General features: G+C 43.1%; 1 protein-coding gene across 5 annotated transcripts in view; it reads right to left on the minus strand.

Annotated features, from left to right (window-relative positions):
- Nucleotides 1-15423, minus strand: part of MCF2L2 (MCF.2 cell line derived transforming sequence-like 2) — a 250579-nt gene that overhangs the window by 199691 nt on the left and 35465 nt on the right. For all 5 annotated transcript variants that reach the window (NM_015078.4, XM_017005943.3, XM_017005945.3 and 2 more), the window contains exons 2-3: nt 11965-12048; nt 1566-1680 (exon numbers count right to left, since the gene is read on the minus strand). In NM_015078.4, the coding sequence (NP_055893.4) occupies nt 1566-1680; nt 11965-12048 (199 nt within the window). The remainder of the gene's footprint in view (nt 1-1565; nt 1681-11964; nt 12049-15423) is intronic.

Genomic DNA, 15423 nt, shown 5'->3' on the forward strand with positions numbered 1-15423 from the left:
GATGAGGTCAGAGTTGAGGGTTGATGAATGTGCATGAGTCAGGCCTAGAAGAGGGGCAGAGGTGTGCCACAGAGAAACACCTGAGCAAAGCCGTGAGACAGGTGTGGTGTCTTTCCCTCACAGCAACAAAGGATTCCCCACATCCTTATATCTGCATTAACGCGTGGCATATGGCAGTGGCAGGGAGGAGGAAAGGAGGAAATTGATGAAATATATTTAAGTACTAACTTTGAAGAAATGCATTCAAAATAAATCCATAACCTTCTCTGAAGAAATAAGATGGGCAAAAGAAAAAACTAAAGAAAAAGGTGTAAAAGAAAAAACATATTTTTCAAGTGGGTTTGGTTAAAGCAATCAACTTCCTAATCTCCACAAGTGGTATCAGACGCCAGGCAGCCTCTCAGTCACAAAGCTGCTGTTTACCTCTAAATCATAGAAGGCAGGTGGAAAGCAGGCAAAATACCACACACCTGGCCACTGTGTACATTCTAAACCACACTATAGTCAAGGGAGGGGTGGGGGCTCATAAGCAATGCAAACCCATGGAGGGAAGGCCTTTCCCAACCAAGTCTTCTCTGCTGGAGGTGGACACAGCACTGCCTAAGGAGGGGGTTTAGACCCCGCTCTGCCCCGGTCTGTGAAATGGTGGTGACCAATGTGGACTCTGCCCACACTCCATCCCCTCGAAGACCTGGGCCCATACCGATTTAAGCGGCATAAAGAGTTGAGGCCCAGGCTGGAGAGGGTGGAAGAAGATGCCAGAAAGCATTTCTATCATGGGCTCAGCTACAAGCACAGTTTTTTTCCCTGGCCTTGTAGTTTCCTTGCTCTGTGCCTTAGTTTCTCCATCTGACAATGCAAATGACAACAATCTGCCCCTAATTTTCTTATTTCGGAGAGAGAAATAACTCCTGACACAGTTGGAGTTCCCTAAACAAGGGTCATGTGTCCTAGACAACGCGACCCAGGAAGCCAGAATAACCTTTAGCTAAAGCAACAGCCTAGGCCGGGCACGGTGGCTCAAGCCTGTAATCCTAGCACTTTGGGAGGCCGAGGCAGGCGGATTACTTGAGGTTAGGAGTTCGAGACCAGCCTGGCCAACATAGTGAAACCCCTCTCTGCTGAAAAAAAAAAAAAAATACAAAAATTAGCTGGAAATTGCTTGAACTCGGGAGGCGGAGGTTGCAGTGAGCCAAGATCGTGCCACCGCACTCCACCCTGGGCAACAGAGCAAGACTCCATCTCAAAAATAAAAAATGAAAATAAAGCAATAGCCTAAGGAACAAAGGCAACACAGCTGCTCAGTTTTCCATCCACCCGACCATGTTTACTCTGTCCCTCCTGTGTGCACAAGAGAGTCAAAACTGAGGCTTGTTTGTCATTGTTTTCCAGTCCCTTTCCACATTCCTTGCTCGTGACTGATGGGTGACAGAAGCCAGCTGGGTTATTATGCATACCAGGGTACACCATGCTCATGGAAGTATATGTCTCAACCCAGCCCTGCCACATGGGAAGTGTGGAATAAAGCCAGTGCCTAAGGCGGCAGGACACTGTGCTCAGCTCACCTGGGGATGCTAGTCAGGTAGGTCATGACATTCAGGAAGTCTTCATCTGGGATGTGTTTGAACCCCGAAAACTCTGGGAACGTGATGATGGGGGCGCCATCCTCCCCTCGGCCTCCTGCAACAAAAACAGGTGGTCAAAATGTTAGCAAAATGTTGTCCTGTCACACCTCTGCAGGGAAGTTGGGCGAAAGAATATCGGTCACCTCTTTTCCTACCTATATTATCTCAGACTAGAATTTGGGAGAAGTTAACACAGTTATTTTGAACAAGTCTCTCTTCTCATTCATGCTGGCTCCATGGCATTGTAAGAATTCAATTTTTGAATCCTTTGAAGAGAGTTACTGTGTAAAAGGAAATACTGATTTAATTATTCAGCATAGGTAGAATAGTAAATAATGCCAACACAAATATGTAATATTGCTCTTCATTTTTGTAGTCAGTAAATGTCAAAAGTAATATTGCATGGTGGTTAAGAGAGTTAACGCTAAAATCAGACAGCCTGGGTCAAATCTGCTTTGCCACATTGTTGCTATATGATTTTTGGCAAGATACTTAATGTGTTTCTTTCATATTTATATATACATATATATGTATGTATATATATAGATATATATGACCTACCATTTTATTATATAGGAATAATGCTTGTACCTACATGGTAAGGTGAGGATTAAATGACAGCACAAATGAGAAGCACCTTAGCAGGGTGCTTATTATATAAAACTGCTCAAAAAATGGTGACCATGATTATAATTATTATTATTACAAGGAAGCAATAATCAGCTTCCCTTCAAGAATTTATAAATAGTAATTTAAGATATCCCTGTGAAAGTAAAAATATGAAAATTCACATTTAATTCAGAGCAGAGACCACCAAATTCAATAGATTCTATTTCCCAGTCCCCTTGCAGCTGCATGGAGCCATTTGACTAAGTTCTAGCCCCACAGTCCCCAAACTGTGTCGCAGGTAAGCAGGGAACCACAGTAAATTCATGGGAGCACTGTGACTGTTTTAAATTTTTGAGGGAAACACAGTGACAGTTGACATCTGTCAGACACCATATGCACTACTACTACCATATGAACTACTTGAGGTAGTTCCCTATTTCTTTTTCCTTTTATTGAGACAGAGTCTCGCACTGTCGCCCAGGCTAGAGTGCAGTGGTGCAATATCGGCTCACTGCAACCTCTGACTCACAGGTTCAAGCGATTCTCCTGCCTCAGCCTCGTGAGTAGCTGGGATTACAGGCGTGCACCACCATACCCAGCTAATTTTTGTATTTTTAGTAGAGACGGGGTTTCATCACGTTGGCCAGGCTGGTCTCAAACTCCTGACTTTAGGTGATCCACCCGCCTCGGCCTCCCAAACTGCTGGGATTACAGGCATGAGCCACCACGCCCAGCCCAGGTAGTTCCCAACTTCAACATCAAATTGCATTATATTCTTGCAGATGGTGTTGCATCTTTATAAAGCTGGGGGTTTGGTACTTGCTGGAATAAAAAGCAAAAACAGTGTGCAAATCAATGTGGAACAAGACATAAAGGTGGTGATATCTAGTTTGATTGCAAGGTTTAAGATAGTTGTAGTTATTTAAGAATAAAAATGAGAGAAAAAATAATATTTTAATTTATATGTATTATTTTTTCAAACAGCTACTAAGTTGTTAGGACATAGATACATATTAAGTTGTTTGACATGTTAGTTATTGCTTTTGGCCTAGGGGGGCCATGAAAAAAAGACTGAGATGCTAAGGCGCAGAGAATTGAGAGGGTTTGGGAACCTCTGCCCTAGCCAGTAGTATAGGAGCTTAAGCTGCATGCACCTCCCAAGTTATGTCCTTGAAGAGAAACCACTTGAAGAGGAATCATGGCTCTCAAGGCAAGGCCAACTACAAATGACTGAATGTATTCAACATATCTGAGACACACATATCAGTGTGGGGTGTGGTTAGTGGGGACTGTGTGATTAATGAGGATGTGTGGTCCACGAAGAAACTATAGAAGAGGAGGACTCAGAGGAGCAAAGGCGGGCAGTGTACAGCCAATGCTATTCTAAGGAGAGAGGGCCAGCCCACTCTGAGAGTCCAACCCACGTTACCAGTCTATCTGATGACACCACTGTAAGATCATCCAGCCAACTCTCTGGTGCTGACTCCAAGCCTGATAAGAATCTTCTGTTTATAATCTGATTTTCCAAGTAAATTGTAAACTTGTTTCAAGAAAAGGAATGTGTTATTGAGCAAACATAAGTATATTATGTAAAGAATAAGTTAGCGCTGTGGTTTTTCTGCATGAGTCTCTTGTGAGTGTTGTTAATATGGGTCTTAGGTGCTCAGAAACCAATTGCTGTAGAACGAAACCATGTGAGATTTGTCTGGATGGTCAGTCATCCCTCCACAGAAGGTACCTCTTTATTAATCCTATATGTTTACTCTAAATTTCCAAAGATGAGATCTACAGATTAGATGTTTATCAAGACAAGTATATTGAACTACCTCATTACAGTGACTGATGAGGATATTAACAGCTTTCATCTAATAATATTCTTCCTCTTTGCAGTTTCACAACTATGGGAAGTTTCAGAGAAATGTGCATTCAGAGAATTTGCGTCTTTGAAAAGCTAAATTAAGATGCATTATAACACTGTAGTAATTGCATAATCAACATTTGCTGAGGGACTGGCTAAAACATTTCAAGGAACTGAAATACCCTAAAATATTCACTAGAATGTGATTATGCCATTTAATTTCACCTTTTATTATTATTATTATTATTATTATTAGATGGAATCTCGCTCTGTCACCCAGGCTAGACTGCAGTGGTGTGATCTCCGCTCACTGCAACCTCCGCCTCCCAGGTTCAAGCAATTATTGTGCCTCAGCCTACCGAGTAGCTGGGATTACAGGCACATGCCACCACGCCCAGCTAATTTTTGTATTTTTAGTAGAGACGGGGTTTCACCATGTTGGCCAGGCTGGTCTCGAACTCCTGACCTCAACTGATCCGTCTGCCTCGGCCTCCCTAAGTGCTGGGATTACAGGCGTTGAGCCACCACACCCGGCCAATTTTACCTTTTTATAGTTGACTGTATTAAAGCCATCCTCACCTAAATGAAAAAAGGTGAAGTTTTCTTCTACCTTGGTTACTACCAATACTGAACAGCAGAGAGGCCCTAAGGTTAACTGTGCACACCCACCTACTGTTGAATATTAGTCTTAAGAGGCAGAAGCATCAAGGAAACAGAGCTGGACTTAACTGTGGGGCAACCTACAACATGGCATCTAGTGCCACCTTCTGAGGAAACGCGGTAATGCAATAGGAAGAAAGAATAATTATTCCAAAGTCCAGTGCATTCCTTGAATGCAAGGAATACAAACAACCCCAAATTATTTGGTACTAAGTAAAATGATAACTTAAAATAAACTTTACTCCTCCTACTATGATTTTGTACCTTTTCATTAAGTGAAAGACAAATAGTTTTAGTGCAGAAAACATTAAGCGCTTGGGGTACATAAGGTGATTGCTGAAAGGGCCCTGGTGATAGCTGGCATGAAGGCTTCATGCACAGGTGAATTGAGAATACAGGAAATCCTACAGGAAGATGGCAAAGACCAATGATGGGGAAGGTTGCAAAGCATCTTCCTACTGCTCTTTGCCTTCCAGTATCTATTTTCCCTTTCTCCTCTACACAAGGTTTTAACTGGGGAAATGGCAGAACCATTCCCTGGTAAGCACTTTGGAAATCTCAGGGCCTAGGATACTAAATGACCCATTCTCCATAATAAAACAAAGAATTGCCCCACATGCTACGTGACTTCCAAATGTCTTACCAGAGGCTTAATTTAAGTGAAAAATCCATTTAAAATGCTCTGAACCTAGACTCTGTTTTTACAAATAATCATAAAGAATTTTTATATTTATTTATTTATTTTATTTATTTATTTATTTATTTTTTGAGATGGAGTTTCACTCTTGTTGCCCAGGCTGGAGTGCAATGGCACGATCTCGGCTCACCACAACCTCCGCCTCTCGGGTTCAAGCGATTCTCCTGCCTCAGCCTCCCAAGTAGCTGAGATTACAGGTATGCACCACCACACCCGGCTAATTTTGTATTTTTAGTAGAGATGGGGTTTCTCCGTGTTGGTCAGGCTGGTCTCTTAACTCCCGACCTCAGGTGATCCGCCCACCTCGGCCTCCCAAAGTGCTGGGATTGATTACAGGCGTAAGCCACCATGCCCGGCCAAGAGGTTTTTTTTTAATCTTAATAAAGTCACTCCAGGTATCTGATCACCCCACCACATCCCAGCATTTGCACCCATCACATTTTTGGTGACTCCAAATTGAGGGGCAAGCACCTCTTTCATTATTCTCATGTAGCTAGACATGCATGTGGAAATACATACTATTGAAAGATATGTTACTTTACTATAATTAGTTTCCTTTGATTCCTCCTTTACAGTTCCTTATATTTTATTTTTTAATTTTTAAAAATATGTGCATAGGTAGGTGTGGCTGTTCACCTAAGTTTTCCCTTCCTGGGCATATAGCTACACTACATTTCCCAGCTTCCCTTGCTGTTAAGTTTGTTCAAATGACTGTGACAAGTTCAAGTCAATGGAATGTGCTGTATGCTATCTCTGAGCTGAGAATTTTAAGAAGCACTATGCTCCTTCCATGTTCTCTTAGCCTGTCTGCTCCCCAGACACGCATAACAACAATAAGAACCAGAAACTCAAAGGAGCCTTCATTCCTGAACCTCCACATGGAGAAAAGTTGTCTGCTGACCAGGAACATACATGCAGAACTGGTAAAAGAGTAAGAACTTAATTTCTGTTATGTGTGTTTTGAAACCGCCTTTTCAAAATCATGACTGAGACAGTGAAAGGGATCTAACTTAACCCACTCCATCTTGCTTCTAACATCCAAGCTCTCCTTGTTCATTCCTGGGCGTAGGCTGAACTAACTTTGGGAGAAATTTAGTTTAGTTTAAACAAACATGGTAACAGCCCTTTCCTAAAGCAGACCTCCATCTTGCCTGGGGATTAGATTGCCTTTGTAGGACTAATATTAGCCACAAGATTAGAAATGATGGTTTAGGAGTCATGCAGCTGGAGGCTGCAAGGTCCTGACCCTCCCTAAACTGCTCCTAAGATCAGTGCTTGAGATATTTTGCAAACCCTGCACTTGATGGATCAGCTGGCACCATCCAGATCAATAAATGGGTTTACCTGATCTGTGGCCCCCCGCCCAGGAACTGACTAAGCACAAGAAGACAGGTCCGACTCCCTGTGATTTCATCTCTGGCCAATCAGCACTCCTGGCTCACTGGCTTCCCCCCACCCACCAAGTTATCCTTAAAAACTCTGTTCCCTGAATGCTTGGTGAGACTGATTTGAGTAATAACAAACCTCCAGTATCCCACACAACCGGCTCTGCATGAATTACTCTTTCTCTATTGTAATTCCCCTGGTTCTGTCTGGGCAGCAGGCAAGGTGAACCCCTAGGGTGGTTACAGTTGGAGCTCTATACTCTTTGGAGTATATTCGTTGTAGTTGTTGAGCCCACCCTTGCAGATATAGTATCTATAAATTTTATGTTAGGATGGCAGAGGGCAATACAAATCATTTGTTATAAAAAGGAGATATTCAGTCAAACATGACTGAGAACCTTCCCTCTCACCTGCACTACCGAATCCAACAGCCACTAGACACATGTGATTATTAAGCACTTGAAATGGAACCAGTCCAAATTGAGATATGCTGTAAGTATAAAACACAAACTAGATTTCAAAGACTTAGAATAAAAAAGGTAAAATCCCAAAAATGTTGAATATCGAGTACATGTGGAAATATTATTTTAGATATGGGTAAATTTAAAATATATAATTAAAATTCATTGTATCTGTTTATTTTAACCTTTTTAATATGGTTACCATAAAATTTTAAAGTACATGTGTGGCCCACACTGTATTTCTATTAAACAGTCCTGCTCTAGATGTCGCCCCTTGGTTCTCACCTCCCAGGTTTCAGGTCACTAGCTCCATATGTAAGCTAGGAGTTGGGGCTCCGATCTCTTCCTTGGTTTGACATTTTCCATTGTTTCAGTTAGGAGCCTCCCACTCACCCCTGGGAGCCCTACCCTCCACCAAACCTGGGCTTCATTGGTGTGTATGAGGTGAAACTGGGGACTCTACAAGCCTAAGAGTATTGAGCAGTTGATTTCTTCATCAATTATTTTCAAAAGGATTCAAGCTGCCACAAGAGACAGGCAGAGAAAGGGAGCAAAGAGGGAGAGAAAGTGAAAGAGAGAGATTCAGTTCACAATAATTCCAAGTGGGAAACAACCATCAAGATAAATATAAAAGGACAATTCCTTATAATTAAAGGAAAGGAGCTGTGGCAAACGTTGATTGATGGCTAATTCACTCCCAGTCCCCTTTTCCCTGACCACCGTCTCCTGTGGCAGTTAGAAAGCTAAATGCTTGCCTTCTGAGATTCTCTTGCTGCCAGGGAATGGCTGTGTGACAGAATTCTGGAATGAGACATAAGCAGAAGGCAGCCAAGAGTTTCTACAAACAGAACCAAAGAAGCCAGCATTTTCCTTCTCCTTCTTCCTGCTTTGGACACTGACCTAATGTCTGGAATTGCAGCAGCCACCTTGAATCAAGAGTTGACAAATAAGAAGAAAACATCAAGAGAATCATAAAGATGTCAGCCTTAATGTCATTGAGCCACTGATCCAATACCAAGAGTTTCTATCGTCAGACCTCGTTATGCAATTTAAAAAACAAACCAACAAGTCTCAGAGGCTAAGTTCCCTTGTAGTCAGATACCATGCTGAGTGAAACTTTTCTTCTTACAGATGAAAAACTGGGGTTTGGAGCCACCTACTGGTTGTGTTGGAATGTGAACCCAGAATTGTCTGGGTCCAAAGCCCAGAGTGTTTCCACCACACTAACCTGCTTATACTCTCTTGTTTCCTAGCTAAGCCCTGAATTTAGAAATATCCCAAGTTCACTGTGAACATGCAGGTGTCTTCCAACGTCAGAGCTACCAGAGGCCCCAGCCCTGGTCAATATCCAATTCCCGCTGGTGGCCCTGCTCACAGGCTTCGCATCCAGAGGCCGCAAACCATCGGGCCACAAATCTGGGTCAGGCTTCATGTAATGAGCCTCTGCTCTTCTACCAGCCGTGGGAACACATGCACAGTTCAGCAGACCAGGCAGCTAGGGCTGCATTGAGGGAAAGGCTCTATCCTCTCCTTCACAGCCTTCCCGGTTGACAGGGTCTCTGGCTCCTTCCAGAGATCAGTGAAATTGGTAGAAAATTTTGTAGGGAAAATCTTTACCTTACTTGCCTGAATCAGGAAAAGGAAGCTGCTATGAGTTGAGGCTGAGGCTGCAGCTCTTAGGCTACCACAGCCATGGGAAAAGACCTAATTAGAGAGATTTCTGTTTTACAGCAACAACTATACAGGCCCCCACAACAGCCTCCTTGCTGACACTTGCTGTTTCTGCCAGAATAAGAGAGATGGTTAAAGATGAAAAGCAGGCCTCTGATTCCAAACAAAGTGCTGACTCAGAGAGACCCACGGCTGCCGCTATTCTTGCAGACTTGCAAGGCTGTAATTACTATCACAGCGAATCCATGCTTCTGCTTCATAAGAAAGGCAAATTTGGGCCAGACACTCTGGCTCACGCCTGTAATCCCAGCACTTTGGAAGACTGAGATGGAAAGACTGTTTGAGCCCAGGAGTTCCAGACCAGCCTGGGCAACATGGCAAAACCCCATCTCTACAAAAAATTTAAAAATTTTGGGCATGATGGTGTGCGCCAATGCCTGCCTGTAGTCTCAGTTAACTCAGGAGGCTGAGGTAGGAGGATCACTTGAGCCTGGGAGGTCAAGGCTGCAGTGAGCCAAGACGGTGCCACTGCACCCCAGCCTGGGCAACATAGCGACACCATGTCTCAAAAAAAAAAAAAAAGCAAAGAAAAAAAGAAGACAAACTTAAATGACAAAAGGAACTCAGAAATGAAGGGTTATCTTTATTATGGTCAAAGTACCTTCCTAAAGCAGAAGTGTCTTCTGCGCCCAGTGTGTGTTTCCACAGTTCTCTGTTCTACGTTAGGGAGTGACAATTATCTCTATTCCTGACTCAATGGTGGCATTGTATACCATATTTATTGTGAGCATGACATTGGTTCCTTATAAAAATTATCTTACTTGTAATAGAACCCCAAAATAAACATTTTATAGAACTATAAAAAGATATCAGAAAAAAAGAGAAACACTTATTCAGCAGTTGCAATACTAAGTGTTTTTCATACATTATGTCATTTAATCCTCAAAATTACTGGCTGGGTGTGGTGGCTCATGCCTGTAATCCCAGCACTTTAGGAGGCTGAGGCAGGTGGATCACCTGAGGTCAGGAGTTCGAGACCAGCCTGGCCAACATGGTGAAAGCCCATCTCTACAAAAACACAAAAATTAGCCGGGCATGATGGCGGGTGCCTATAATCCCAGCTACTCAGGAGGCTGAGGCAGGATAATCACTCGAACCTGGGAGGTGGAGGTTGCAGTGAGTTGAGATCGTGCTATTGCACGCCAGCCTGGATGACAGAGCAAGACTCCATCTCAAAAAAAAAAAAAAAAAAAAAAAGAAGTTACAATAACCCCATCATACAGATGAGGAAACTGAGGTTTAGAGAAGTAAGTTGCCCAAGGTGATGCTGCTAGTAAGTACAGAATCCAAATTCATATCTGGAGCTGTCTGATACCAGTTCATGTTTTTTTCTATATTGCCTCTAAGTCATAAGAACAGAAAGAAAGGCCTCAATAATACTCAAAGGAGATAAATTTGGATCATAAATGTATTAATTAATCTGTCACTAGACTGATTCCTGAGATGAGCCATTGTGTAATTATATAAGCCAGAATCATGCATTGAGGCCTCAGAGCTTTAGTCTAAGGCTCTAGGAATCTACCTGACCCCAGCCCACCCTGTCATCCATTCCAGACCTTGAGCTGCATGGTGGTCTCGGGGCCTTCTGTGGTAGGGCAACAGTTTCCAGGAACCCAGAGAACAGACCCCATTCTGCCTTTTGTCTTGCGCAAGCCCAGACTCACAGTGGGAAGCCATGAGACTGTGCCTTCAGGAGGCTGGTTAGGTCCTCCCACAGGGGCCAATGGTGCCTAACTAGGCATCTGGGGAGCAGGGAGACCACCGGCCTCGCAGAATAGACCACAGGGACTTGGATATTTTTGTACTGAGCACCTTTTATGTTCCAGTCTCTGATCTAAGCATTGGCAATACAGACAGAAAGAAGAAAAAGGAGGACCCTGTATTTATGGAGCTTTCAGTGACTATGTGCGCAGTGACTGATATGGCGGAAAGACCAGAGAATTCCCCCAGAATGTCCTGGATTGTGTAAGATGTGGTCACCCAGGAGGCAATGCTGGGGTGGGGAGAAATATCCCAATAATAACTGAGTTCGCATCTCCTTCAAATCAGTGGGATGAGGAGCTTGGAGCAGATTAAATGTGATTTGGAGAAAAGAAAGAGATGTGACTTTTTTTTTAATATCCCATGTTGTAGAATAAAATTCACACCAACTACATATTCTCTCTGTGATGTAACTAAGATGGCTTTGTTGTTTTTTTCAGAACAGATGTAAAAGTTGAAAAGAGTAACTTGCCACTTTATCCCTCCATGTTATATACTAAGGATATCTAATGTCACCACTTCATTCTCCTAAGTTGGGTCTAACCATAATTTGGGGTTTGGCATGTACTTCTAGTTTTAGTAATTAAAGTCATGTCACCTTTGGCTGAGCGAATAAGAAAGAACAGTATTCAAGTCATGACAACCTTTCAGGGTTGTGTCTAGGCTCAAAAAATGCTAGACTTTTAGTCAGAACAGCCTCTCTTCATTCCCAATCAAATGCTTGATGGAAATCCCTTAAATGAGCTAAGAGTAAAAGACAATTCTCCCAGAGAACAAACAACCTCAGCAACGCTCGGGAACCCTTAGAACTAAGACCTTTGTAAGGCTGAATCTTGGAAGAACATCCAAAGGAACATTGGAAGAACATCATGGTGGCAGCTGATGTCAGTAGTTGTCTCTTTTTCTTTCCTCAAAATCTTTTCAGCTCTGTTATTTACAACCACAAAGAAATGTGCTCCTTTGGGAAAGATCAGATTGCACCAAACAGCAAAGGGAATAATATGTATGAGATCCCACCCTCTTCTGGCAGGATAGGCCTCAGCCTGTTCTAGTCCCGGGTGAAGCCTAAGGGGTGAGTGAGATTTGAGTATAACATTCCTCAAGGTTCAAGAGGCTGGACCTTCCCATCAAGACCCCCCCATCAAAATCTGGAAATGCAAATGAATGTGCCCCTTACCTGAAAGAATGGCAAATTGTCTGTGAAGTTGTTCTATTATCTCCACCGCCATCAGGGGTCTGACTTCCTGCTGCATAATTTCATCTGCACAAATGAAATACAAAGTGGGTTAGTTAAACATGTGCAAATTACAAGAAGAAATTAAAAAGAAACAAAGGCAAGTTGTACTATTGGGAAATCTGGGACTTATCAAGAGACGGTGCTGGCACAACATTCCCTTGAGAACTTGATTGCTGAGATCCAGGGCTGTATCTGGATTTGTGTGCTTTGGAGCTTATGCATCTGAGCGTGGAACACATTTCTAGAGCCCCTACCAAGGCTTTGGGAGGGACCAATACAAGGAAAGAACCCTGAAGTTTAAGCTCCAGCAGCTTCACAGAAAACCTGCTGGATGACCTCATTACGAAGGCAGGTATTTGCCTACACCTTTGGGTCTGCAGAAGGACATTTTAAACACAAACAACATAAGTTACTAGAGCTCCTTTCAAAACAGGTCATAAAATCAATCTGGGATTCATGAGGGTTCTTTAATTTTTATTTTCCTCCCTACCTCACTTCCTTCCTCCCCTACTTATCTCCATTCCTTTTTTTCCCCCTTCCAGAATACTTTAAGGGGCCTCTTCCTACTGCTAAATGTATATAAGAAGGCACTTTTTCATTTTTCTATTTAAAGATTCTCCTAACTGAATAATAAGTTATATAGGTTTCCAATGCAAAAATCCAATCCTTTCAAGCACAAATCTACAAAGTTCCTCTAACCCTAGAAAGTGACTTATAAGCCCTGTGATTTGCCCTCATTTCCATTTGGGGAAAAGGAATTAGAGAGAGGGGAGGACCAACTGGAATCTTTCAACCTAGGCTGAAGAGAGGAAGGCATTTTCATGTTATCTCTGCCTAAGATATTATCTTCATTCAATTATTTCCCAGGGAATCTTAAAGAATAAACTGGTGGCTGGGTACTGAGGCCGAGGGGGAAGGACTATTTGAGGCCAGAAGTTTGAGACCAGCCTGGTCAACAGAGTAAGATCTTGTCTCCACAAAAAATTTAAAAATTAGCCAAGCATGGTGATGTATGCCTGCGGTCCCAGCTACTTGGGAGGCTGAGGCAGGAGAATCTCTTGAGTCTAGGAGTTTGAGGCTGTCGTTAGCCATGACTGTGCCACTGCACTCCAGCCTGGACAACAGATGGAGACCCTGTCTCAAAACAAAACAAAACAAAACAAAAACAATAACAAAAAATGAATGAACTGGTTATTGTTTCTACAGGAGTTAAACATCTAGTTAGATTAAGGCATGAACCAAACAACCTGTGCTCTGATGCTAGGTGGGAATTTCCTACTGATTCATTATGGGGTCATGGTAACATTATGATATTCTAGTGTTGACCAATCAGAAGGTAATATTTGGGAAGGTCCTCTCTGAGTCTTGGTCTACTCTCAGCTTTTTGGTGTGGAGGTTAAAGGAGATAATATATATGGAGATGTATATAGAGGGTGCTGAGCAAATGCTAGTTATATCCCTTGTTCTGAACAGACAGGCCTTTCCCAAATTTGCTTTCTAAAAGCCTTTTTTTGTTTTTTTCTGAAAGTCTTGTAAGGGGTGGGCCAAGTGCCAGCTTAAGCCCCAAGATCCCCTTCAATGAATTCCCCCATTGTTTTGGGTAAAGGGGATAAATCTAGACCAGAGCTTCTTCATCCCAATACCACTTCCACCCTGAATTCACTAAAAGTTCAAAGAACTCCTTCGTCACTGTTCATTCGGTGGGTGTAATAACGGCATGGTAGTCACATTTTATAAAAAGGGGGCCTTCTCTGTTAGAAACACAAATTGAAGCATTTAACAGTGAAATGATATGAAGTCTGAGATTTGCTGACAAATACTCCAGCACTCCCCTTCACTAAAACTATGCATGGGGTGGAAGTGGGGGGTAGATGAAACATGCTGACAAAATGTGGATAATTATTGAAGCTGGTTGATGGGTCCACAGGGGTTTGTTACATAATTCTCTTGCTACGTTTCAAATTTTCTGTAATAAAATGTAAAACACAAGTAGACAACAACATAGAGAATTTCAGCAGAAACGGAAGTTATGTAATTAAAGAGTTTTCAGAGTACAATCTCCCAGTGGTCTAGGACAGTGGCATACTCAGAAATAGAGCTTCAGTATTATTTGTTCATACCTGAGCATTTTTTTGATTTCTCTTTTTTAAGATATAGGATCTTGCTCTGTCACACAGACTAGAGTGCAGTGGCATAATCATAGCTCACTGCAGCCTTGAACTCCTGTGCTCAAGCAGTCCTCCTGCCTTGGGCTCCCAAAGTGCTAGAATTAGAGGCACAAACCACCACGCCTGGCCAAGCAAGCATATTTCAGAGATGATGAACCGAGAGAAAAACAAAAATCATAAGGTGTAATTTATTGTTCTTACATGTCAATATTTGAGGTGTGCTTTAAATTAAACATTTTAAAGATGTAAGATCTGAAAGGGGAGCAGACATTAGCGAAGTCAACGATCCCCACGCCATCTCATTTTTCAAATGACAACATGGAGACCCAGAGAGATCCTAAACTTGCCTGTGGTTACACAACAAATAACTGTAGAGCCCGGATCACCTGACGCTAAGAGGGCAAACCTCGGCCACGCGTGATAGAGTTCCCAGACCCTTGGCCTTGAGTTGCAAAGGCTCCTGCAACCCTGAGAGGCTGACTAGTGTCATGGGAATCTGAGGTTTGCCCATCCCCCCAGCCCCCGACAAGAGACCTTTCTCGCTAGCCTCCTGTGGCTATCAAATGAACAGGACTAAAATTCATAATTTGTTTTTCTAAGAATAGCAATGAGCTGCTTTGCTTTAAGTGCAGGTTTTGCTGAGAGTGCTTGCTCTCCAGCCAGGAAGTGACATGGTTATCCTTGAAGTCTTCCTAGCAAAGGAGCCACATGACCCAACCTGGCCAGCTGCAACAGATCATGAGGCTTTCCCAGACTCATCCTCTGACTCGGCATGGAGATGACTGCAGATACACCCAGCCTTCAGTTGCCTGACACTTGTGGTCCTGTTGGAATAGGGCATGCTCTGTTCTGCCCCCAGTAAAGTACACTTATGCTCTACACCAAGAGACACAAAGATCACCCTGCGGCTGGCAGGCCCTGCCTCCCACTCCTGTATAGGTAGGTAGGGGAGGAAGTACAAGAAGTCTTTGGTTCTGAAAGAACACCTCCACTGCAATGGGAAAGGATCTGCTTCAGATTCAGACAGGCTTGCATGCAAAGGCCCTTTCTGCCACCTTCTAGATAGGTGATCAGGGCAAGTACACTCTGAGTCTCAGTGTTCTCACCAGTAAAAGGGTTTTTCCTTCTCCCAGGAACAGGTGAGCAGAACCATGACCCACCAAGGCGCTGGTGCCTGTTACACACCTGCCCTGGCCTCACAGAGGTCTGTGGAGGCTTCCTGCTTCTTTGC

Source organism: Homo sapiens, chromosome 3 (assembly GCF_000001405.40).
Source record: "Homo sapiens chromosome 3, GRCh38.p14 Primary Assembly".
In the NCBI taxonomy this organism is placed as follows: Eukaryota; Metazoa; Chordata; class Mammalia; order Primates; family Hominidae; genus Homo; species Homo sapiens.